General features: G+C 37.3%; 1 long non-coding RNA gene and 1 pseudogene across 1 annotated transcript in view, besides 2 other annotated features; one reads left to right on the forward strand and one right to left on the reverse strand.

Annotated features, from left to right (window-relative positions):
• LOC107987105 (uncharacterized) overlaps positions 1–25,379 on the reverse strand; it is a 217,429-nt gene extending 192,050 nt beyond the window's left edge. Inside the window, exon 1 of the long non-coding RNA XR_007061705.1 lies at positions 25,189–25,379. This is a non-coding gene — a long non-coding RNA (uncharacterized LOC107987105). The remainder of the gene's footprint in view (positions 1–25,188) is intronic.
• On the forward strand, positions 76–1,009 carry OR13D3P (olfactory receptor family 13 subfamily D member 3 pseudogene; annotated as a pseudogene).
• Positions 1,800–2,999: an enhancer, noted in NCBI's record as "BRD4-independent group 4 enhancer chr9:107486341-107487540 (GRCh37/hg19 assembly coordinates)". NCBI's record gives its function as "activates an origin of replication core promoter dependent on BRD2, P300/CBP, MED14 and CDK7 cofactors, and independent of BRD4, by STARR-seq in HCT116 cells {active_cell/tissue: HCT116}" and the evidence as "EXISTENCE:reporter gene assay evidence [ECO:0000049][PMID:35650434]".
• Positions 25,317–25,406: a silencer, noted in NCBI's record as "silent region_20143". NCBI's record gives its function as "represses an Ori minimal core promoter by ATAC-STARR-seq in GM12878 lymphoblastoid cells {active_cell/tissue: GM12878}" and the evidence as "EXISTENCE:reporter gene assay evidence [ECO:0000049][PMID:35858748]".

Genomic DNA, 25,418 nt, shown 5'->3' on the forward strand with positions numbered 1-25,418 from the left:
TGATAACTCTACATCAAAAATTCAAATTTTCCTGTCTCATGTTCTTTTCTAAACTCTGCAGATGACATGAACACATGGAGACAACAAATCACTCTGCCGTGACTGAATTCTTTCTGGTGGGGCTTTCCCAATATCCAGAGCTCCAGCTTTTTCTGTTCCTGCTCTGCCTCATCATGTACATGATAATCCTCCTGGGAAATAGCTTCCTCATTATCATCACCATCTTGGATTCTCGCCTCCATACCCCCATGTATTTCTTTCTTGGAAACCTCTCATTCTTGGGCATCTGTTACACATCATCATCCATTCCTCCAATGCTTATTATATTTGTATCTGAGAGAAAATCCATCTCCTTCATTGGCTGTGCTCTGCAGATGGTTGTGTCCCTTGGCTTGGGCTCCATTGAGTGTATCCTCCTGGCTGTGATGGCCTATGACCGCTATGTGGCCATCTGCAACCCACTGAGGTACTCCATCATCATGAACAGAGTGCTGTATGTGCAAATGGCTGCATGGTCCTGGATCATAGGCTGTCTGACCTCCCTATTGCGAACAGTTCTGACAATGATGTTGCCTTTCTGTGGGAATAATATCATTGATCATCTTACCTGTGAGATCCTGGCTCTTCTTAAAGTCATATGCTCAGATATCTCCATAAATGTGTTTATAATGACAGTGTCAAGTATTGTTTTATTGGTGATTCCTCTTAATTTTTATCTCCTATGTGTTTATTCTCTCTTCCATCTTGAGAATTAATTCTGCTGAGGGAAGAAAGAAAGCCTTTTTTACCTGTTCAGCGCACTTGACTGTGGTCATCTTATTCTATGGTTCAGTTCTTTTCATGCACATGAAGCCCAAATCAAAGTTCACAACAGCATCTGATGAAATCATTGGATTGTCTTATGAAGTGATCACCCCAATGAACCCCATCATCTACAGCCTGAGGAATAAGGAGATAAAAGAAGCTGTGAAGAAAATCCTCAGCAGACACGTGCATCTATGGAAAATATGAAAGGCCTTGAGGCATGTGACGTTCTCAACAAGGGATCAGATCAGGTGTTTTGTATTCACAGATAAAGTCACAGAATCTGGTATCAAGAGAGTGTGTATGTTTGTAAAGACAACTTTGGGATTCCCATTCTTCTCATCACAGAATGCTCATGTACACCTTCTGAATAATGTCTTGTGTGCAGAGTTTCAAGCTGTAGGTATCTGTGCTCACTGATCCCATATAGGGATAAGGTTTTTCATCAAGATAAATCTCACTCTTCTCTACTCTTTATCTCTTTCTCTTTCTTACTCACTTTTCTCTCCCTCTTCTCCATGTCCTCCTCTTTCTTGACCTTCCTCCTCTTCCCTTCTTCATCTACTTCCTTTATCTTTCTTCTGTCTTCTTGGTCTCCTTTATCCGTCATTTTGAATAGAACATCTGTTGCTTTGTTGTACAGCATCACCTCTTCTGGTAAAATAATATATCTTTTTTTTATATATATATAACAACAGTCTATTCCTCTGAGTCCATGTGGTCTGCATGGGACTAACTCAATCTTCTGGATATAGTGGTAGATGCTAAACAAAAGCCTAGCAAATAAAAAAGCAAATTCATCTCGCTACAGTGGCTCATTCAGGGTAGCAACTGAGCCAAGTCAGGCTAATCAAACTCAACCCAAGAATGCTGTCCCAGTAGGGCGGGGGAAAAAGGCACTCTTTCCACTAGGGTTGCTTAACTGGAGAATTGTGAGCCTGGAGCCAATCTTTGGCAGTATGAGCAGAGAGCCTAACTGAGATGCAAAGGGGAGTTCAGAAGGAGAGAGAGGGTGTCTGATGCTGTTAACTCCTCGATTCAGCTGTGTCTAAAGTCATTTTCACATTCTTTTTAGTTCATGAGTCAATAAATTATCTTTATATGAAAAGCTAATTTTAACATGAGGGGCATCATGGCAGACGGGAGGCAAGACTAGATTGCAGCTCCAGACAGAGCAGCGTGCAGAAGCTTACATTGTGAATTTTAGCTCCAGATCAACTGCAAGAACAAACCAGCAATCCTGAGAGGACCCACAGATGCTCTGAAGGAAGCAGACTGCTCCTGCAGGACCCAGGAGACACCCCAAATACTGTGAGTACCCCAACTGCAGAAATGGGAAAGGGAGACCCTCCTCTCCCAAACACACATCCCCACTGGAGAAGGTGAAGGTTTGTTTGCAGGAGAAGTTTCTGACTTCTGGAAGTTTACCTGGAGCTGACCTCAGAGAGCCGAGTGAAATACAGAGGTAGAGGAAGCAGCAGAAAGGCCCTAGGAGTTCACTGGGTCCCCAAGCAGCCCATTCCTGCCTGGCACCACAGGGATCCATCAGGAGGGTAGACAGAGAAGCAGGGGTAAAATTCCACAGGGACAAGGAATTCTATATCTGACCTTTGTAACAATTTGAATGGGGCGAGAAGCCTCCTGGTCAGAACGCAGAGGGCGCGAATCAGGTGTGCAGACTTCACAGGCAGAGGAAGGACTAAAGCCCTTTTCTCTTGCAGCTGGGACGCAGATAGCCTCGGACAAGTTTTCAAGCCTGTCTCACCCTCTGCCTGGACACAGACTCGGGGCTGTTGAGGGTGGCTGGGGCAAGGTGGGAGTGAGAGTAGCCCTTCAGTTTGCGTGGGAGCTGGGTGACACCTGTGACTGACAGCCTTACCCACTTTCCTGACAACCTGTATGACTCAGCAGAGGCAGCCATAATCCTCCTAGGTACCCAACTCCAGTGACCTGGAAATCACCCCCAGCCCCCACAGCAGCTGCAGCAAGACCCACCCAAGGAGAGTCTGAGCTCAAATACGCCTCGCCCTGCACCCACCTGATGGTCCTTCCCTATCCACCCCGGTAGTGGAAGACAAAGAGCATATAATCTCAGGAGTTCTAGGGCCCCGCCCACCAACCATCCCTCTCCACACTACTACAGCTGATGCTTTCTGGAAAAATGCCACCTCCTGGCAGGAGGCCAACCAGCACAAAAATAGAGCATTAAACCACCAAAGCTAAGGACTCTCATGGAGTCCATTGCACCCTCTGCCCCTTCACCAGAACAGGCGCTGGTATACATGCCTGAGAGACCCATAGACAGTTCACATCACAGGACTTTGTGAGGACAACCCCCAGTACCAGCCCTAAGCTGGGTAGACTTGCGGGGTGGCTAGGCCCAGAAGAGAGACAACAATCAATGCAGTTTGGCTCACAGGAAGCCACATCCATTGGAAAAGGGGGAGAGTACTACATCAAGGGAACACTCCGTAGGACAAAAGAATGTGAACAACAGCCTTCAGCCCGAGACCTTCTCTCTGACAGAGCCTACCCAAATGGGAAGGAACCAGAAAACCAGCCCTGGTCATATGACAAAACAAGCCTCTTCAACACCCCCAAAAAATCACACTAGTTCACCAGCAATGGATCCAAACCAAGAATAAATTCCTGATTTACCGGAAAAAGAATTCAGGAGGTTAGTTATGAAGCTACTCAGGAAGGGACCAGAGAAAGGCGAAGCCCAATGCAAGGAAATCCAAAAAAAAGGTACAAGAAGTGAAGAGAGAAATATTCATGGAAATAGATAGCTTAAAAGAAATAAAAAATTTAGGAAACTCTGGACACACTTTTAGACATGCAAAATGCTCTGGAAAGTCTCAGCAATATAACTGAACAAGTAGAGGAAAGAAATTTAGACCTCGAAGACAAGGTCTTCAAATTAACCCAATCCAACAAAGACAAAAAAGAATACGAAAATATAAACAAAGCCTCCAAGAAGTCTGGGTTTATGTTAAACAACCAAACCTAAGAATAATCGGTGTACCTGAGGAAGAAGAGAATTCCAAAAGCCTGGAAAACATATTTGGGGGAATAATCAAGGAAAACTTCCCCAGCCCTGCAAGAGACCTAGACATCCAAATACAAGAAGCATAAAGAACACCTGGGAAATTCATTGCAAAGAGATCTTCACCTAGGCACATTGTCATCAGGTTATCCAAAGTTAAGACGAAGGAAAGAATCTTAAGAGCTGTGAGACAGAAGCACCAAGTAACCTGTAAGGGAAAATCTATCAGATTAACAGCAGATTTCTCAGGAGAAATCTTTTAAACTAGAAGAGATTGAGAACCTGTCTTCAGCCTCTTCAAATAAAACAATTATCAGCCAAGAATTTTGTATCCACCAAAACTAAGCATCATACATGAAAGAAAGATACAGTCATTTTCAGATAAACAAATGCTTAGAGAATTCACCACTACCAAACCACCGCTACGAGAACTGCTAAAAGGAGCTCTAAATCTTGAAACAAATCCCGGAAATACATCAAAACAGAACCTCTTTAAAGCATAAATCACACAGGACCTATAAAACGAAAATACAGGTTAAAAAGCAAAAACAAAGGCGGGGCACAGTGGCTCACGCCTGTAATCCCAGCACCTTGGGAGGCTGAGGCGGGCGGATCACAAGGTCAGGAGATCAAGACCATCCTGGCTAACACGGTGAAACCCCGTCTCTACTAAAAATACAAAAAATTAGCCGGGCATGGTGGCAGGCGCCTGTAATCCCAGCTACTCAGGAGGCTGAGGCAGGAGAATGGCGTGAACCCAGGAGGCAGAGATTGCAGTGAGCCAAGATTGTGCCACTACACTACAGCCTGGGCAACAGAGCGAGACTCCATCTCAAAAAAAAAAAAAAGGCAAAAACAAAAAACAAAGCCAAAGTACACAGGCAACAAATAGCACGATGAAAGCAATGGTACCTCACATTTCAATACTAACATTGAATGTAAATGGTCTAAATGCTTCACTTAAAAGACACAAAACTGCAGAATGGATAAGAACTCACCAACCAACTATCCGCTGCCTTCAGGAGACTCACCTAACACATAAGGACTCACATAAACTTAAAGGGGTGGAAAAAGGCATTTCATGCAAATGGACACCAAAAGTGAGCAGGGGAGCTACTTCAGACAAAACAAAACTTTAAAACAACAGTGGTTAAAAGAGACAAAGAGGAACAGTACATAATGGTAAAAGGCCTTGTCCAAAAGGAAAATATCACAATCCTAAATATATATGCACCTAACACTGGAGATCCCAAATTTATAAAACAATTACTAATAGACCTAAGAAATGAGATAGACAGCAACACAACAATAGTGGGGGAACTTCAATACTCCACTGACAGCACTGGACAGGTCATCAGGACAGAAAATCAACAAACAATGGATTTAAACTATACCTTGGAACAAATGGACTTAACAGATGTATACAGAATATTTATACATACATACAGTATATATAATATATATAATTATATTATATAGTATATCTAATATATAATACAGTGTAACATTTCGTCCACAAGCTCAGAATACACATTCTATTCAACAACACACGGAACTTTCTCCAAGATAGACCATATGACGGGCCACAAAACAAGCCTCAATAAATTTAAGAAAATTGAAATTATATCAAGCACTCTCTTGGACCACAGTGGAATAAAACTGAAAATCAACTCCAAAAGGAACTTTCAAAACCACGCAAATACACGGAAATTAAATAGCCTGCTCCTGAATGAGCACTGAGTCAAAAACAAAATCAAAATGGAAATTTAAAAATTCTTCCAACTGATGACAATAATGACACAACCTATAAAATAAAAACCTCTGGGATACAGCAAAGGCGGTGCAAAGAGGAAAGTTCATAGCCCTAAACGCCTACATCAGAAAGTTTGAAAGAGCACAAACAATCTAAGGTCACACCTCAAGCAACTAGAGAAACTAGAACAAACCAAAAACCAAACACAGCAGAAGAAAGGAAATAACCAAGATCAGAGCAGAACTAAATGAAATCGAAACAAAACAAAACAAAATACAAAAGATAAATTAAACAAAAACCTGGTTCTTTGAAAAGATAAATAAAATTGATGAACCATTGGTAAGATTACCCAAGAAAAGAAGAGAGAAAATCCAAATAACCTCACTGAGAAACGAAACAGGAGATATTACAACTGACACCACTGAAATACAAAAGATCATTCAAGCCTACTACGAACACCTTTACTCACATAAACTAGAAAATCTACAAGAAATGGATAAATTCCTGAGAAAATACAACCCTCCTAGCTTAAATCAGGAAGAATTAGATACCCTGAACAGACCAATAACAAGCAGCAAGATTGAAATGGTAATTTAAAAATTACCAACAAAAAAAAGTCCAGGACCAGACGGATTCACAGCAGAATTCTACCAGACATTCAAACAAGAATTAGTACCAATCCTTTTGACACTATTCCACAAGATAGAGAAAGAAGGAACCCTCCCTAATTCATTCTATGAAGCCAGTATCACCCTAATACCAAAACCAGGAAAGGACATAACCAAAAAAGAAAACTACAGATCAATATCCTTGAGGAACATAGATGCTAAAATCCTTGACAAAATACTAGCTAACCAAATCCAACAACATATCAAAAAGATAATCCACCATGATCAAGTGGGATTCATACCAGGGATGCGGGGATGGTTTAACACTCAAGTCAATAAGTGTGATACACAACATAAACAAAATTAAAAACAAAAATCACATGATCACCTCAATAGATGCAGAAAAAAAATTTGACAAAATCCAGCATCCTTTTATGATTAAAACTCTCAGCAAAATCAGCATACAAGGGTTACACCTCAATGTAATAAAAGCTACCTATGACAAACCCACAGCCAACGTGATACTGAATGGAGAAAAGTTGAAAGCATTCCCTCTGAGAACTGGAACAAAACAAGGATGCCCACTCTCACCACTCCTCTTCAACATAGTACTGGAAGTCCTAACCAGAGCAATCAGACAAGAGAAAGAAATAAAGGGCATCCAAATCGGCAAAGAGGAAGTCAAACTGTCACTTGTTTGCTTACGATATGACTGTTTACCTTGAAAACCCTAAGGACTCCTCTAGAAAGCTCCTAGAACTGATAAAAAGAATTCAGCAAAATTTCTGGATACAAGATTAATGTACACAAATCAGTAGCACTTCTGTACACCAACAGCAACCAAGCAGAGAATCAAATCAAGAACTCAACCACTTTTACAATAGGTGCAAAAAATAAAATAAAATACTTAGGAATATACCTAACAAAGGAGTTGAAAGACCTCTACAAGGAAAACTACAAAACATTGCTGAAAGAAATCACAGATGACACAAACAAGTGGAAACAAGATCCCATGTTCATGGATGGATAAAATCAGTATTGTGAAAATGACCATACTGCCAAAAGCAATGTACAAATTCAATGCAATCTCCATCAAAATACCACCATCATTCCTCACAGTTATAAAAAACAATTCTAAAATTCACATAGAACTAAAAAGAGCCCACACAGCCAAAGCAAGACTAAGCAAAAATAACATTTTATAATGTGACTTTATTAAACGTTTTGTTATATTGTATTTATTCAATGTGGCATAGTTTTTTAAATGGAAGAAATGGGTACAAACTCTAACACTGTAATTTACTAGGATAATAAATTTTAACCTATCAGAGACTCCATTTCCCTTGACGTAGAATGTGGCATTTAGTCCCTAGCTTAAGGGGTCTTATGGGAATTGAATAAGGGAAAAAAAATGCAAAATGCCTTCTTCGGTGCTTAACAAAATGTCATGCAACAAAAAATATACATTCCCCTTACCTTTCTCCATATATATCTATCTTGCCTAACAGACTGAGGGGATTCCCTGAGGGAAAGATATGAAAGTAGTATGTACTTAACAGTCCTTGGTACCCAGAACAAAATAAGCATTTATTGTAAATATGTGTTGAATGAGTGAATGGGTGATTGTCTTTCTTATGCTGAAGTTAAACAATTTTATTTGCCATTGCCTGAATAATCCTTATGACTGCTGCATCTGCATTTTTGCAAATACCATTCTCTCCACCTAAAATTGCCATCCCTTTAACCTACTATGAAAATTCAAGGTTCTCCTCAAAAAAAGTCTCCTCTGACTTTAAAGCCTTCTAAAATCATCCTAGCAAGACTCTACCTTGTCTTCCTCTAAGTTAAATTCTTATACAATCTACTTAGGCTTTGAAGTGTTTATTATGTTTTTATTATGTGTTTTTTATTCTCTTCAATTATATATACAATATGTCTGTTATTTTATTCAAAGGTCATCAGACACAGAGGCTGTGAGTTATCTGTCCTTGTAATACCACAAATGTTAACAGTGGGCTTCAATGAATAGATTCTTTGGATCACTGCATTTTGCTTTATTGTATAAAGTCTATTTGTTTATTAATTTTCTTTTCATAGAATATGAGCAATGTGACTGTGTTGTATGTAATACATATAGCTAGCAATAATCCTGCTTAAAATAATATTTCCTTTGTTGCATATATGGTTTTGTTTATTCTGGGCATCAGAGGTTTGTCTGTAACAGATCAGCAAAGTCCATCTAACCTAGTTATAAATAGATATAATCTGTGAACTACTTTATTATGCTTATAATTTGACAATGACCAAAATAAAATATTAACTTATAAAACAGTGACTCCTGTATAAGTATCTCTAGCTCTGAGATACACTCTAGGCATTTGAAATATAACATGTCCAGGCCAGTGGCTCACGCCTGTAATCCCAGCACTTCGGGAGGACGAGGAGGGCGGATTACGAGGTCAGGAGATCGAGACCATCCTGGCTAACACGGTGAAACCCGGTCTCTACTAAAAATACAAAAAATTAACCGGGCGTGGTAGCGGGCGCCGGTTGTCCCAGCTACTCGGGAGGCTGAGGCAGGAGAATGGCGTGAACACGGGAGGCGGAGTTTGCAGTGAGCCGAGATCGCGCCATGGCACTCCAGCCTGGGCCACAGAGCAAGATTCCGTCTCAAAAAAAAAAAAAAAAAACCAAAAACTAAGAAATATAACATGTCCAAAATAGAAACCTTGATTTTCTTATCCCCAAACTACTTCTCTTCAAGTGTTCCCCATCTCAGGTAGTGGCATCAACATACACTCACATCCAGCCCCCTAGTGAATTCTATCAGCTCTATATTCAAAATTTACTCTAAGTCTGACCACTTCCACTGCTACCGCCCTGGTCCAAGCCATCATCATCTCACATAGGCTACTGCAATGGCTTCCCAAATCACATCTCTGACTCCTCTTTCATCTTCCTACAATTCCTTCTCTGCATAGCAGCCAAAGTGTTTTTAGAAGAGTATATACTGAAGTTATAAAACAGGTAAAAACGAATTAATGTTGCTTTAAAAATTAGAACAGTGGCTGCCCATGTGGAGGAAGAGTTACAGCAGGTATCAACGGGAATGGGGAATGAGGGAACTTTTCTGAGGTCATGTTAACGTTCTATATCGCAGTAGCAAGTTGAGTGACAAAGGGATGTGTTTGTCAAAACTGAATAATTAGGATTATGAATTTATTGTATATAAATTTTAAATTAAAAGAAAAAACCATAAACAAATATTAAACTCTAGTTAATGATACACATGCTAAAGTACTTAGAGAAAAGTGTACGATATCTGCAATGTACTTTAAAAGCATCCACAAATGACATGGATTTAGTGGGAGGATAGAGCAATGAATAGAAACATAGATATGAGGCTGGGCGCGGTGGCTCACACCTGTAATCCGAGCACTTTGGGAGGCTGAGGCGGGCGGATCACCTGAGGTCAGGAGTTAGAGACCAGCCTGGCCAACATGGTGAAACTCCATCTCTACTAAAAACACAAAATTAGCTGGGCATGGTGGTGCATGCCTGTAATCAATCCTAGCTACTTGGGAGGCTGAGGCAGGAGAATCGCTTGAACTCAGGAGGTGCAAGTTACAGTGAGCTGAGATCGCCCCATTGCACTCCAGCCTGGGCGACAAGAGCGAAATGGAAGGGGAAGGGGAAGAAGAAGAAAAGAAGGAGGAGAAGGAAGGAAGGAAATAAACCTAGTAAAATGTTAGTGGTAAAATCTAGTTGGTTGGTATGTGATGTTCAATGTAAAATTCTTTCAGTTTTGCTTTATGTTTGAAATTTTTCATAATACAGTGTTGAAAAAACTGTATAAAACCTGTCAAGAATGCAGCTCTTGAATGAATGTTGTAGGAGTGTATGAGGCAAGGGTAGAAATTGGATGAAAAATTGTATTATAAATTATCTTAAACAGACTTTAGGAAAAAGTTCTAGTTTAAAAGGGCAAAACTTTTTAATAGGTTATTTACAACTCTTACAAGAGAGAAATCAAAAATAAATTTTAATGGTCCCTGTGAAACTTAATTTCCTATACTGAATGCTTTTCAGGGTTTCCATTGCTATTCCTGCGGGATGGGTAAAAGGGAGGAGAAGGAAAGGAGAAATGAAATACATCAGAAGATTGACTAGAATCAGGTTGTAATGTAGTAAGAAAAAAAGAAAACAGCAATTTTTGGCATAATGTGCTGTTTGTGATATTCCTTCATATATTCTTGGCTATTTCTGAGGGGATTACTGATTCCTCAGGCATATCAGATTGTACAAACCTTAGCAAAAAGAAATTTTCTCCTACATTTATTCTGCAATTTCACCTTTTCAATGCAATGAAAACAATGAATTTTTTGATAATGCCATTTCTATATATCCACATGATAATCTCTTATAAATCTTATAACATTGCTACAAGATTGATATATAATAACAAAGGCTAAATGAGGGGATCGATACCCCATCTTCCATGATGTGGTTATTATACATTGCATGTCTGTATCAAAACATCTTATGACCCCATTAATATATATACCTACAGTGTACTAACAAAAATTAAAAATTAAAAATGAATTTATACACAATTACACAATCATTCACATTTCCCAAGGCCTTTTCTAATCCGGAACCTTAATAAAAATTAAAAAGCTGAAGTTCAATTCAAGTAATCTCTAAATTGGCTGAACTGTTTCCTATGCTACTCATATTCTCACACCAGATGTGGGACACAAAATGATTTAACATGTGAGGCAATACTGGTTAAGGACAATGTAAGTAAACAGTATTTGTATTATAATAATGATTCAGGTAGTTACAGAATACAAATGTTAATATGCATGTCATAATGTGTAAGATTATTTTAAAATGGGAAGTGAGACTTTACTCAATATAGTGAGCACCTCTAGTATTAGTGATGAAAGGACTACTAAGTTTTACACTTCTGATCAAAAGCTTTAAATTGCAAAGCATTTTTTAAATAGCAAAAATGCATAATTCAGTCACTGAGTAACAAACAAGAGAAATTATTGAAAACAATTAATCAAGACAATTAAATGGCAAAGACTATGAATCATATTTATCTTGGTTCAGAAGGAAAATATGTCTTGAGAAAAACATGCAGATTTAGATATCTCTGTGTTTAAAGTCTTTAACTTTCTTATATGGTAAACTGAAATTCTGGAAAAGAAGCTAACTTAAAAAAACAGTGGAAAAAGAGAAGTAAAACAATTTTATATAAAAGGCACAAGACAAACTCTATATTTCTTAGCTTTGAGTTAGGCTGGAAAATTTTACCACATTTTGAAACTAGTTATCTTACCGTAACAGTGAAATTATTAAAAGTCCTAAGAATGATTGAGCAGACATATATAGTGTATGCAAAACTGCATTATGTTTCAATATGTGTGTATATTATGACATTAGTATTTGCTTTAAATCTCTTCTCTAAGATACTGAATTATGAAAGACAGAATTTACTTTATTCTTATTTATTTATTTTGGAGACAGAGTTTCACTCGTTTCCCAGGATGGAGTGCGATGGCGCAATCTCAGCTCACAGCAACCTCAGCCTCCCAGGTTCAAGTGATTCTCCTGCCTTAGCCTCCTGAGTAGCTGGGATTACAGGCATCCGCCACAACGCCGGGCTAATTTTGTATTTTTAGTAGAGATGGGGTTTCTCCACTGTTGGCAGGCTGGTCTGGAACTCCGGACCTCAGGTGATCTGCCCATCTCGGCCTCCCAAAGTGCAGGGATTACAGGCGTGAGCCACCATGCCCAGCCTCCTTTTTATTTTTATAATATGAAAATAAAAATGATAATTGTCAGAATAAACTTCTCTATACAGATACTACAGAAGATACCTTCCTTTTTGTTCTTTTATGTCTGTCATTCAGTCTAGATTTTGCAGTCTTATTTGGCAGGCACACTTAAATTTCAAAATCTAGAACTTATAAAAAGTGGTTTTCAATAAATATTTTTAAATACTTTTAAATGTTTACAATAAAGTATATCACTTTTTAAAATTAATATATAAGTATATAAGCATATTTATAAATAAGCAAAATATAATGGTAAAATGAGTATCTAAAAGGAAATATGGAAGTTGGTCTAAGAATGTCATAATGCTTCCTACACAGACTATTTATTACAGTTTTTAATAAATGAAGCATAGTCTGCTCTTCATAATGAATAATCTTATTATATTTTAATATCATATAGCATAGTGTTTATTTTCTAAAATGCTTTTCATAGAGTAAAAATGCCATCAATTAAAACAGAAGGCAAAAATCGATGGAATACTATCTTAGATTGTTTAAGCAAAAGCAATGAAAACTAGAATTGTGTATAAAACTATCTTCCAAGAGAGAAGGCAATATAAAGACATTTTTGGAAAAAAATGATTTTTTTTAACACCCAGAAAACTCTCGAAAGAAAGAAACTGTCCCTTAATAAAACGAATGGAATGGAAATCACTTTTCATAGAAAATAAGGACATTGATAAATAATATGGGTAAATCCAAACTGTCACTGACTTTGTAAAAAAGGGCAATTAGGGGACTTAAAAACAAAATAAAAATGAAATCTAAGATACAAATAACATGGAATATGATGAGAGGGGTTAGAAATCAGAGATAAACATTTTGAAGTCCTTCAGGACTTCAATTCAGGAGGATTACAAATAGATTAAGTAGAGATCGCATTAAGTTAAACATCCATCTTAAAAATTGCAACAATCTGTATGTGTGTGTGTAACTTTGTGCACAAATAGTAGAAACTGTTAAAATCCAATGAAATGTTTATAAAACTAAGGATGCATTGGGAAAGAAAACAAGTCTCATTGAATACCAAAGAATCAGTATCATTCAAATCACAACCTGTGTCCAAAATACAACATATTAGAAATTCATATTGAAAAGAGAAACTTGAAAAATATCTTCTTTTTTTTTTTTTTTTTTTTTTTTGAGACAGAGTCTTGCTCTGTCGCCAGGCTGGAGGGCAGTGGTGCGATCTTGGCTCACTGCAACTTCCACCTCCCAGGTTCAAGCAATTCTCCTGCCTCAGCCTCCCGAGTAGCTGGGACTACAGGCATGCACCACCACACCCAGCTAACTTCTGTATTTTTAGTAGAGACGGGGTTTCACCATGTTGGCCAGGATCTCAATCTCCTGACCTTGTGATCCGCCTGCCTTGGCCTCCCAAAGTGCTGGGATTACAGGCGTGAGCCCAAAAATGTCTTTTAAATGTGGAAATTAAAGACATACTTTTAAATAATTCACAAGTAAAAAAGATCATGATAGACATTTCAAAATATGTATAACTTGATGATAACAATTACCATAAAAAATTGTGAGATAAACAAATAATACAGTTAAACACATACATTAGAAAATAAGAGAGATTAAAAATTAATACACTAAGAATCTGACTCAGAAAAAAAGGAAATGGCCTAACATAGTACTGGAAGTCCTAGCCAGAGCAATCAGACAAGAGAAATCAGAAAGGAATCCAAATCAGTAAAGAGGAAGTCAAACTGCTGCTGTTCACTAATGTGATCGTATATCTAGAAAAACTCTAAGGACTCATCCAAAAAGCTCACAGATCTGATAAATGAATTCAGTAAAGTTTCAGGATACAAAATAAATGTACACAAATCAGTAGCATGCTATACACCAACAGCAACCAAGCTGAGAAACAAATCAAGAACTCCATACCTTTTACAACAGTTACAAAAAAAAAAAAAGAAAGAAAGAAAATACTTAGAAATATACCTAACCAAGGAGGTGAAAGATCTCTACAAGGAAAACTACAAAACACTGCTAAAAGAAATCATCAACAACACAAACAAACTGAAACACAACCCATGCTCATGGATGGGAAGAATCAATATTGTGAAAATGACCATACTGCCAAAAGCAATCTACAGATTCAATGCAATTCCCATCAAAGTACTACTATCATTCTTCACAGATCTGGAAAAAACCATCTTAAAATTCATATGGAACCATAAAAGAACCTGCATAGCCAAAGCAAGAGTAAACAAAAAGAACAAATCTGGAGGCATCACATTACCCAATTTCAAACTATACTATTATACAAGGCTATAGTTACCAAAACAGCATGGTACTGGTATAAAAATAGGCATGTAGGCCAATGGAACATAATAGACAACCCAGAAATAAAGCCAATTATTTACAACTAACTGATATTTAACAAAGCAAACAAAAACATAAAGTGGGGAAAGGACACCCTATTCAACAAATGGTGCTGGGATAATCAGCAAGCCACACGTAGAAGAATACAATGGGATCCTCATCTCTCACCTTATATAAAAATCAACTCAAGTTGGATCAAAGACTTAAATCTAAGACCTGAAACCACAGAAATTCTAGAAGTTAACATTGGTAAAACTCTTCTAGACACTGGATTAGGGAAAGAGCTCATGACCAAGAACCCAAAAGCAAATGCAACAAAAACAAAAATAAATAGATGGGGCCTAATTAAACTAAAAAGCTTCTGCACAGCAAAAGAAATAATCAGCAGAGTAAACAGACAACCCACAGAATGGGAGAAAATATTCATGAACTATGCATCCAACAAAGGACTATCCAGAATCTACAAAGAACTCAAACAAATCAGCAAGAAAAACAAACAATTCCATCAAAAAGTGGGCAAAGGACATGAATAGACAATTCTCAAAAGAAGAAACACAAATGGCCAACAAGCAATAGTTAAAACATGGAAGCAACTCAGTGTCCATTGATGAATGAATGGATATGCAAAATGTGGTATATACATAAATAAAATATTATTCAGCCTTAAAAAGGAAGCAAATTCTAACACATGCTATAACATGGTAAAGCACTGAGGACATCATATTGAATAAGCCAGTCACAAAAAGATAAATACTGTATGATTCCACTAATATGAGGTAGTTAGAGTCATCAAAATCATAGATACAGAAAGTAGAAGGGTAGTTGCCAGTGGCTGGGGGAAGGGGAGAATGGGGAATTATTATTTAATGGGCACGGAGTTTCAGTTTTACAAGATGAAAAGAGTTATGAAGGCTGGATGTGGTGGCTCACACCTATAATCCCAGCACTTTGGGAGGCCAAGGCAGGTGGATCACCTGAGGTCAGGAGTTTAAGACCAGCCTGGCCAAGATGGTGAAACCCCGTCTCTGTAAAAATACAAAAATTAGCCGGGCATGATGACGGGTGCCTGTAATCCCAGCTACTCAGAAGGCTGAAGCAAGAGAGTAGCTTGAACTCAGGAAGTAGAGGTAGCAGTGAGCCAAGATGGTGCCACTGCACTCCAGCCTGGGTGACAGCTCAAAAAAAAAAAAAAAAAGAAAGAAAAGAGTTCTGGAGATGGATGGTGGTGATGCTTGCACAACATTATGAATATATTTAATACCACTGAACTGTACACTTAAAAATGGTTAAGATGGTAAATTGTATGTTATCTGTATTTTACCATAATAAAATATATTTTATATATATATATATATATATTTTTTTATTTACCAGGCCCAAATAATTTCCCTGGATAATTCTAACACATTTTCCAAGAACAGGTAACCCCTGATATATAAATTGGTTCATAAAATATTTAAAAAGGGAATGGGAAGCTCCCCCAACTCTTTTTGTAAGCCTGTATGTACAGCCCTGAAACAAAAACTGAACAGGGAAAATATGAGAAAGGAAAACTTAAGAGCCAATCTCACTTATAAACATAGACAGGAAAATATAAAATACTAGCAAACAGAATCTAGCAATGTAGAAAATAATAATACCTAACTTTCGGGTAAGGTTTATTCAAACGATGCAAGGAAGTCATAACATTGAAAATATTTTAATGTAATTCACTATAATTTCAATTAACAGATTTTAAAAATTATCATTTCATTAAATGCAAAAGATCTTTTGATAAAATTTAATAGGCACTCATAATTTAAAATAAATAACTTAGCAAACTACAAACAAGCAAACTTTTAAAACTGATATAAGGGGTATTTATCAAAACTTACAATTGACAAATCCCCTTTAAGTTTACAAACAAGATAAGAATGCTGGCTTTCACTTTTTTATCCCCCGCAGAGAAACGGTCTTGCTCTGTCACCAAGGCTGGACTACAGTGGAGTGATCCTGCCTCATTGTAACCTTGACCTCCTGGGCTCAAGTGATCCTCCCACCTTAGTCTCTTGAGTAGCTATGAAGTACATGCTAATTTTTTGTTTGTTTGTTTGTTTGTTTTTGAGACAGGGTTCTCTCTGTGTTGCCCAGGCTGGTCTTCAACTCCTGGCCTCAAGTGGTCGTCCCCCTCTGGCCTCTCAAAGGGCTGGAATTAGAAGTCTGAGCCACTGTGCCAGGCCTGTTTTCACCTCTTATAGTCAACATTGCACAGAGGTCCTATGTACGACAATAAAGAGAGAAGGGGGCAGTGGGAGAAATAAAAATCGGGAAGGGAAAGAGGAAAGAGGGGAGAAAGAAAAAGAGAAAAATGGGAAGAAAGGAAGGAAAGAAGGAAGGGCAGGAGGGATAAAGGAAGGAAAAGGAGTCGTAAAGATTGAAAAGGGAGAAACAAAATTGTCATTATTGCCTAAAAATAAGATTATCTCTGTAGGAAGTCAGAAAAAAATCCATTAGAAAATCTTAAAATGTAAACTACTAAAAGGCTTTAGCAAGGCTGCCAACCACAAGATCAACTCAATAGTATTTTCTGCAGGAAACACAACTGGTTAGAGAATATACTTTGAAGTGCATCTCATGACATCACAAAAACTATAAAATGCCAATGAATAAAAACTGCATAAGGAATTTTTGAGGAAAAATATAAATCGTCATTAAAGCACACAGAAAAACCTCCCAAAAACTGGGGACACAAATTTTGTTCATGTTAGGAAATTCAAGAATAAATATATGAATTTATTCAGAATTTCTCTGTAAATCTAATATAATTTCCATCAAAATGATACTGAGATTTTTTTTAGTTTCTCAAACTTATCCAAAAATTCATACTGAATAGCAAAGACAAAGAATAGCCAAGACAATGTTATAATAAGAAATGTATATTTACTATACAAAATGTCAAGATGGATAATAAAGCTACAGTAATTCAAATTGCTTAGTACTGATACAGGTAAAGACAAATTAATCAATGGAACAGATTAGAAGGATCCAGAAATAGCCTAGGCATCTGTGGAAGTTTATATCCCAAGTGAATGGTCTTTGATTTATAATGGCATTACAAATCGGTAGGGAACAAATGAACTATTTAATAAACTGTTCTTTGGTAATGGACTACTAATATTGAAAAAAAGATCAAATTAAATCTACACCTCATACTGTGACTAAAATAAACTTGAGAGAGATTAAATACCTAAAGGGCAAAAGCAAAACTGTAAAAATATCTACAGGAAAATATACAAGAATATCATCATGCACAAGGAAAAAGAAAGTATACCTTAAATAGGGGGAAAAGCACAAAAACATGAGACCAATAATTTAAATTTAGAAACACCTATATGGCAAAATACTCTTAGAAAGTTTAAATAATAGCTACAAATGGGAGAACATATCAGTAAAACATACATCCAAAAAAAAGATTAGTCTGGAAGTTTTTGTTTTGTTTGTTTTGAGATGGAGTCTTGCTCTGTCGCCCAGGCTGGAGTGCAGTGGCACAATCTCTGCTCACTGCAACCTCTGCCGCCCAGGGTTCAAGCGATTCTCCTGCCTCAGCCTCCCAAGTAGCTGGGATTACAGGCATGTGCCACCATGCCCAGCTAATTTTTTTGTATTTTTAGTAGAGACAGGGTTTCAGCATCTTGGCCAGGCTGGTCTTGACCTCCTGACCTCATGATCCACCTGTCTCGGCCTCCCATCACTTTTGGGTGATGGGATTACAGGCATGAGCCACCACGCCCGGCCGGAATATATATATATATTTTTTAAAGCATTCAAACCAAGCCAGGCATGGTTGTGCACCTCTAATCCCAGCCACACCTTGCGAGGCTGAGGGGACAGGATTGCAACATTCAAATCAATATGAAAAAGATGAACAACAAAATAAAAAATTGGGCCAAGAATATAAACAGGGACCTCAACAAAAGAAAAACAACATGGCCTATAAAATTATGAAAAGATTCTCAATTCACAAGAAATCAGAGCAATATAAATGAAATCAATGAAACATTTTTCATCCATAAGATATGCAAATATTAAAGTCTTACAAGAATTGCAAGAATGTGCAGGAAGAGGAAATACGATTCACTGCCTGGGAGCATAAATGGCTATGGTGAACCAAAAATTGTAAAGTTGACTCATTAATTCCACTTACAGGGATGTGCCTAAGGACATATCTACAAAATTACTCATTGAAGCATTATTTATAAACCTGGGAATATTTAAGTATCAAAAGAGAAAGAGGAACAAAGTTACAATATGCTCAAATATTGGATTGTAAGAGAGCAATTAAAATGAGCCAACCAGCTCTAAATGGCTTATTTTGTTACCTTTGGCAAACCACCTAACTTCTTTAAGCTTCCTCTTTGCTGTGTGTTTTAGTCTAAAATGTAAATATCAGCTTTACAGAGTGAAATGAAAGTAAGAAAGGACTTAAGTAAAAGGTATACTACATAACAGCATGTAAGAAATATCAGAAATAATAAAATCTGATGACCCCTTGTCGGTAAATAGGCATCACTGACATTCTCTGAGAAAAAAAGGGATGAGAACCGAACAAGTGATCTGAGATTAAGTAAATATTTCTTAAAACCTTTAAAAAATGAAAGGGCAGCCAAGTAGGTATGAGAACTAACCAAAGAGGGTTCAGTTCTCAATAAACAGGTAATTATAAAGGAGACTTTAGTAATATAAATTAACAAATATGCTTCATTCCAAAAACAAAGAAGAGAAAACAAACAAAAAACAACAAAGAGGCAAAGGACCAAATGTTTTTGTTTGTTTTTGAAACTCTCACCCAGGCTGGAGTGCAGTGGTGCATACTTGGGCCACTGCAACCTCCACCTCCTGGGTTCAAGCACTTCTCCTGCTTCAGCCTCCCAAGTAGCTGGGATTACAGGTGCCTGCCACCACACCTGGCTAATTTTTGTATTTTTAGTGGAGACACAAGGTTTCACCATGTTGGCCAGGCTAGTCTTGAACTCCTGACCTCAAGTGATCTGCCAGTCTGCCTCCCAAAGTGCTGGGATTACAGGCGTGAGCCACAGCACCTGGCAAGACCAACTGATTTTTAATAAAAAATAATATGAAACAGGACTTATACTGAAGTACCCTCTAAAGTTATGACTTTTATTAACTTTCTTCCCAGTTTTTATTTTGTGCTAAGTGGAAGCTTCAGATGACTCCAAGGGAGTATGAAAATTGGGAAACTTTTTTTTTTTTTTTTTTTGAGACGGAGTCTCGCTCTGTCGCCCAGGCTGGAGTACAGTGGCCTCATCTCGGCTCATTGCAAGCTCCGCCTCCCGGGTGCACGCCATTCTCCTGCCTCAGCCTCCGGAGTAGCTGGGACTACAGGCACCTGCCACCATGCCCGGCTAATTTTTTGTATTTTTAGTAGAGACGGGGTTTCACCGTGTTAGCCAGGATGGTCTCGATCTCCTAACCTCGTGATCCGCCTGTCTCGGCCTCCCAAGGTGCTGGGATTAAAGGCGTGAGCCACCGCGCCCGGCGGGAAATGTATTTTTTTAATACTCAGTATCTTTATATGAGAAGAAAATAATTTTGGATATGAAGGCAACTTCTAATAGCACTATTAAGCTATCATGAAAAGACAACTTAGAATGTTTTTCAGAGGGAATATTAATCTGAGAAGTTCTAATTTCCCATAAACTATTTCTGTTAACCTTCAAAAGCGATAGTGAGGCATTTGAACTTAGTTCAGAAAGAATGTGTCGAAAATCCTAGGCAGTATCGTGAAACACCTAATAAAGACCAAAAGAGGCAATAGGCCCCTTTTGGTTGGACACAGCCTACTTGCCCCTTGCATTAAAGTTCTAGCTCTCAATACAACATTGAGAATAAATAAAATACAACAAACTTAAAGATGCTATAAAAACAATCAATGAGAGTCAAGTAAATCTAACTCAGATTAGAAAGTTAATCAATTACCCAGCTAGTAGGTACCTGGGACAACTTGTGGAGGTAAAGAAAACACTGGCGAGCATCGAATAATGAGTGTTCATTTGGAAGGGGAACTTAATGAAAAAAAATATGTACTAACAAAGTGTGTAAGTGCTTAAAGCTAGAAGATATCTCGACTTAAACACCTAGTAAAAAAAAAAACGAGCCATATTTAATAAGAAAAATCTGAAACAAATAGCAAAAGGTTCAGAAATATTTGTCTAATAAAATTTCTCCCCGACTCCAGTTGTGAGGCACAGGGATTATTCAGAGCGAAAGATTTGCAAAGCCTATTTTGGGAAATAATTGTATTCACTGATATCAGGATTTAAAATGTCATTAGCACTAAAATTCATTTTCCAATGGAAAACGTAAAAGTCAATTTTTATATCTAAAAAGAGGTAATGGATATATAAACATGTTTATGTGTTTTAGAAATAAAAATACTTCATTAATAGAAAAAAATTAAATACATTTCTAGTATACTTAAATATTTAGCTATTCACAAGTCTTTACTGCTTTACTCCAAGAACTCTAGCTGAAAAGAGACTAATACAGAAATATCAAGACATGCTGACCACCTCAGAAAGAAGCATGCAGTGGTGGTTTTTTCTTTTTTCTTCATTAAGGCATTTAATTCAATGTTCAACATACAACAGGTGCTTAACAAATATTTGGTGATATCAGTAGGTCTCTTTTTAAAGAAAACTGAATAAAAAATGATTTTTTTAATTATTAACCCGCCTTATTATTACTAGTAACCTGCCTTTACAGAAGTTTTTCTTCTATACATAATCCAGTATCACACACAAAAAAAACTGTAAGTTAAGTCTACTCTATAAATACCTATAACTTACATTACAGGAACTCAAAAATAACAGAAATAGACATATGCACACACTAACACCGAATGAAGGAAAAGTGAGTCTATGCCACCATCTAGTGGCTGCAGAATAATAAAGCACCCAAACAAGAAAGTACCCAGGGATGTAGTACCAGAATATAAGCATCTAGAATTTACATGTAGAGCTACTGCCCTCCTATTCAGTTGGGCCAGCACTGGCATTACCTGGCCTATTCAGTTGGGCCAGAATTGGGTCTACCTGCTCGCTTCTGCATAAGTCTGACCTTCGAAAAAAACCAAGCGGGAACACCATCAAGTTTCCTTTGCTCACCTCATACAATTCCCACCACATTTCAACGGATACCTATTTGTTATGAAAGGTATAAAAATGCATCTTCACATTCGTCAGACCAGATGGGCAATAATAAAAAATTGGTCAGGAAAACCTCATACATTGCTATTAAACAGTCTGGCACTACTTAGTAAAGATGAATATGTACATAACTTATGACCGAGCAATTCCACTCCTGGGTATGTAATCCAGAGTAGTGGTTTGTAATTTCCAGTACACAGATCCTGAGTGAATCTATAGATAGAATTCAGAGGGTCTGATAAGTTGGATGAATAACAATTCCATCTTTATTGGCAACAACTTCTAACTAAAATTAACCATTTCCTTTATGAAGGTAGGCAACAAACCACAATATTAGCAGGACCTGTGACTTTGTAACCAATAAATATTATAGACAATGTCAAATTCCATTTATAGTTGTTGTAAATACATAAAAATTTCTTCCACACTTATCACTACTTCAAAATTACATCTTTTACACCCACTATTAGATATTGTTTTTTAGTGCCCTAATAAAGAAGCATCTCTATTTCTTTTTAAAAAGTTTTTTATATTTCATTATTCTAGTTCATTTTTTTCATATTTGATTTTGTATTTTGATTATTCTAGTTCACTTTTTTCACTGTATTTGTTTTCTTTGCAACCCTATGTATTTGTTATACATTTAAAAACATTTGGGATCCACAGGCTCACAAGATTTTGAAAGGATTTTAAGACACAAAAAAAGGTTAGTAATACCTGCCCTAGAGAAATTCTTCTGGCGGAACCAGGAGACATCTACAAATAAATTCAAACAGCTTTGTTTATAATAGTCAGATGGACAAAAAAACAAGGTATTTTCATGTAATAGAATAGCATACTAAAGGGATGTGAATTAATTATTACAACTGCATTAATGTGGTTGATTTGCAAAAGCCTAAAGTTATAGCTAACAGTTATGTAACAAAATAATAAAATTAGTTAATAAACAATCTAAAACAGGCAAACCAAAGCAATATACTCTTTAGAGTTATATACAAATGTAGTTGAATTATTTCAGAAAAATCAATGTAATAACACAAAATTTGGGATCATGGTTACTTGAGGGAATTGGAGGAGAGGGTTGTAAGAAGAATGTGACCAGGAATGAACATGTATTGAGCTTCTGAGTTGCTGGCAATACCCTTTTGCTTAAGCCTTGTGGCAAGAGCACAGACATTCACTTTATTATTCTTCTTTAAAGTGTACAGATATCTCATATACACTTTCATACCTATAATAAATGTTTGATATTACCTTCTTAGATAGGTCATCTCTGTCTATCCAATCCAAAATAACTACCCAGTTACTCTATATCATACGAGCCTATTTTAATAATCTAGTTTTTTGATAGGATTTTTCTAGCTTTGAACTGTCTATCCTTTGGACTATTTGTCAGAATTTCAGGATATGCAACAATAATTTTCAAAATATTTATCCTATACATTTTCCAGGCAGTTTAGGGATATGCTTTTTAAAATAGCCACAGAACAATATTACATTTTAAATTCTGTCTAAAAGCTACTTTCCACTGCAAATCTAAAATTACCTTAATAATCACATATCTTTTAAAAATAAATGGTAAACTGAACTGGTTTTACAATTGGGCTTCAAAGTCTGTGCCACTTCGTAGCAATGAAACTGAGAAAATTCTCTTTTCAGACTTCACCTTTCTCACTTAAAAAACGGAGATAAAGCTTAACTCACAGTATTTGAGGATATTTAAAACCTGTGAGAAAGAGAATAGGAGAATATTTTAGCTACTTAGAAGCACTTAACAATGTTTAGCCATCTCTCAATTGTAGCCATGAATTTTGCCCCTATCTGTATTTTCCTCTTGGAAATTCCTCTTGGAAGTTCCCTGTATCTTTCTGCTGGATGGATGCAGTTAATGATGAGACTAGGGAATGGCAAAGCCACCGGGTAGAAGCCTGGCTCCCTAATTCACTAAGTATAGAAGAGCTACCTGCCAACTAGAAAAACCCACTTTGTATTCTTATAAAAAATAAACTCCTATAGTGTTTGAGTAATAATACACTTTTTTGAGTGTTGATTTACAAGAGCTATTTAATCTACCCTAATTAATATATTATTGAAAGATACTACCAAATGCTGAGTGTTCTGGCCTTCTTCCCTCCTCAGCCTCAGGAAACTGGCAGCAAGGCTTTTCTCACACAGATAAGATACTGGAAGTTTCCCTTCCCTAACACTGACTACACAGATAAATAACTTGCAGATAACAGTTTGGGGGGAGGGGATACAGCCTTCAGTGAAATACCCAGGTCAGATCACCTCACAGTGAAGCCCACTATTTGAAGAGATTCACCTGTGCTTACAGTGCTTTTAACATGTTTTTCTCACTCCAAAATATATTTTTAATGTAAACATCAATAAACGCAGGAAGGAAAGTGTATTTTGAGGGAGTGGTATGAAGAAACCTAAATCCTAAATATCCAAGTCAATAGCTAGAATCCTGACCACTTTTAGAATTCCACTAGCACCTTTATTCGTATCTTACTTTATTTTTCTTTATATTATTTGACAATCCCTGATATATTTACTCTTCCTTTTTTTATCTGTTTCCTCCATCCTGGATGTTCCAAGAGGACGGGACTTTGAATTTTGCTCAATTCTGTACCCCAGTTTCTGGAAAAGTGCCTGGAACATGGAAGGAATTTAGTAAATATCTGTTGAATAAGTAAATGGATTGGCAATTACAGGGTTTAAAAAAAAAGGTCTAAGAAAATAATTTACTCATATAGATCCAGTCCTGATACAAATGATTTTTTTAGTCTTGCATGGTTACAAATAGATGTCTCTCTTCTAGAAAAACTGAGGCAACCCTTCCGAAATAACTAATTTTAAAAAGTCTCCCTTCCTTTGAACAGACAATTCCAAAGCTCTTCCACAAGGCACAACCAATACAACCCAGGTCATGGCCCTGCAATCCCTCCCTAGTCCTCATGATGTAAGCAATATTACATTAATGTTTACAATAATGTAATTATTAGCAAGAATAATGTAAACATTAATATAGATTACTGTAAATTAATAGTGTAATTAATTACTGTAAATTAACATAAGCATTATTAGATGCAGGAAGACAAGTGAATTTGGGGGCAGTGGCATCTATGAGACATAAATCCTCATCTGCCACAGAAGGAAGTCAACACATACTATCCATAACTGAAAATGCAATAAACAGCAGAAAACACTACTTACTTAAAAATACAGAAACAAGCATTAAATGAAACAGCTTGAAATGTTGAAGGTGGTTACTCTGGGAACCAACACTCCCGGACTGGGAGGACTAGACCAGGGTATGTTTAACTTTGACTTTTTCATTTCAGGCTCGATGCTGCCATTTCTCTGAGCTCGTGGAAAATTTAATCTAAATCTTAATTAGGAGCCTTCTAAGATGGAGAACACATTCATTGCAGAGAGGTCAGGCTCAAATACACGTCTATCACAACATCTAAAACTTAACTCGGAAAAAACCTCCACGATTTTAAATACAAAGCACTGCACATGCACGCACTCAACACCTCTCCTTCTTTCCCCATGGTCAACACACCCACAACCCCTGCACATTTACCAATCTACACAACTGAGCACTGGAGCGAATGAGGTGAGTGAGGGCCCAGAAAGTTGAAGCAGGAACGATCCGAGCCTTCAGTTAATCCTAACGTCACCTCTAACGTTTGGGGTAAGAACGTTTCAGGAAACCAAGGGGGAACCAACGCTCAGCACAGCAGAGAAAGACACCAAGCTACGGGACCCGCCGCGCCTCCCGCGCCGGGGTGGAGCTGACCCCGCCGAGCCCCG

Source organism: Homo sapiens, chromosome 9, assembly GCF_000001405.40.
Source record: "Homo sapiens chromosome 9, GRCh38.p14 Primary Assembly".
Taxonomy (NCBI): domain Eukaryota; kingdom Metazoa; phylum Chordata; class Mammalia; order Primates; family Hominidae; genus Homo; species Homo sapiens.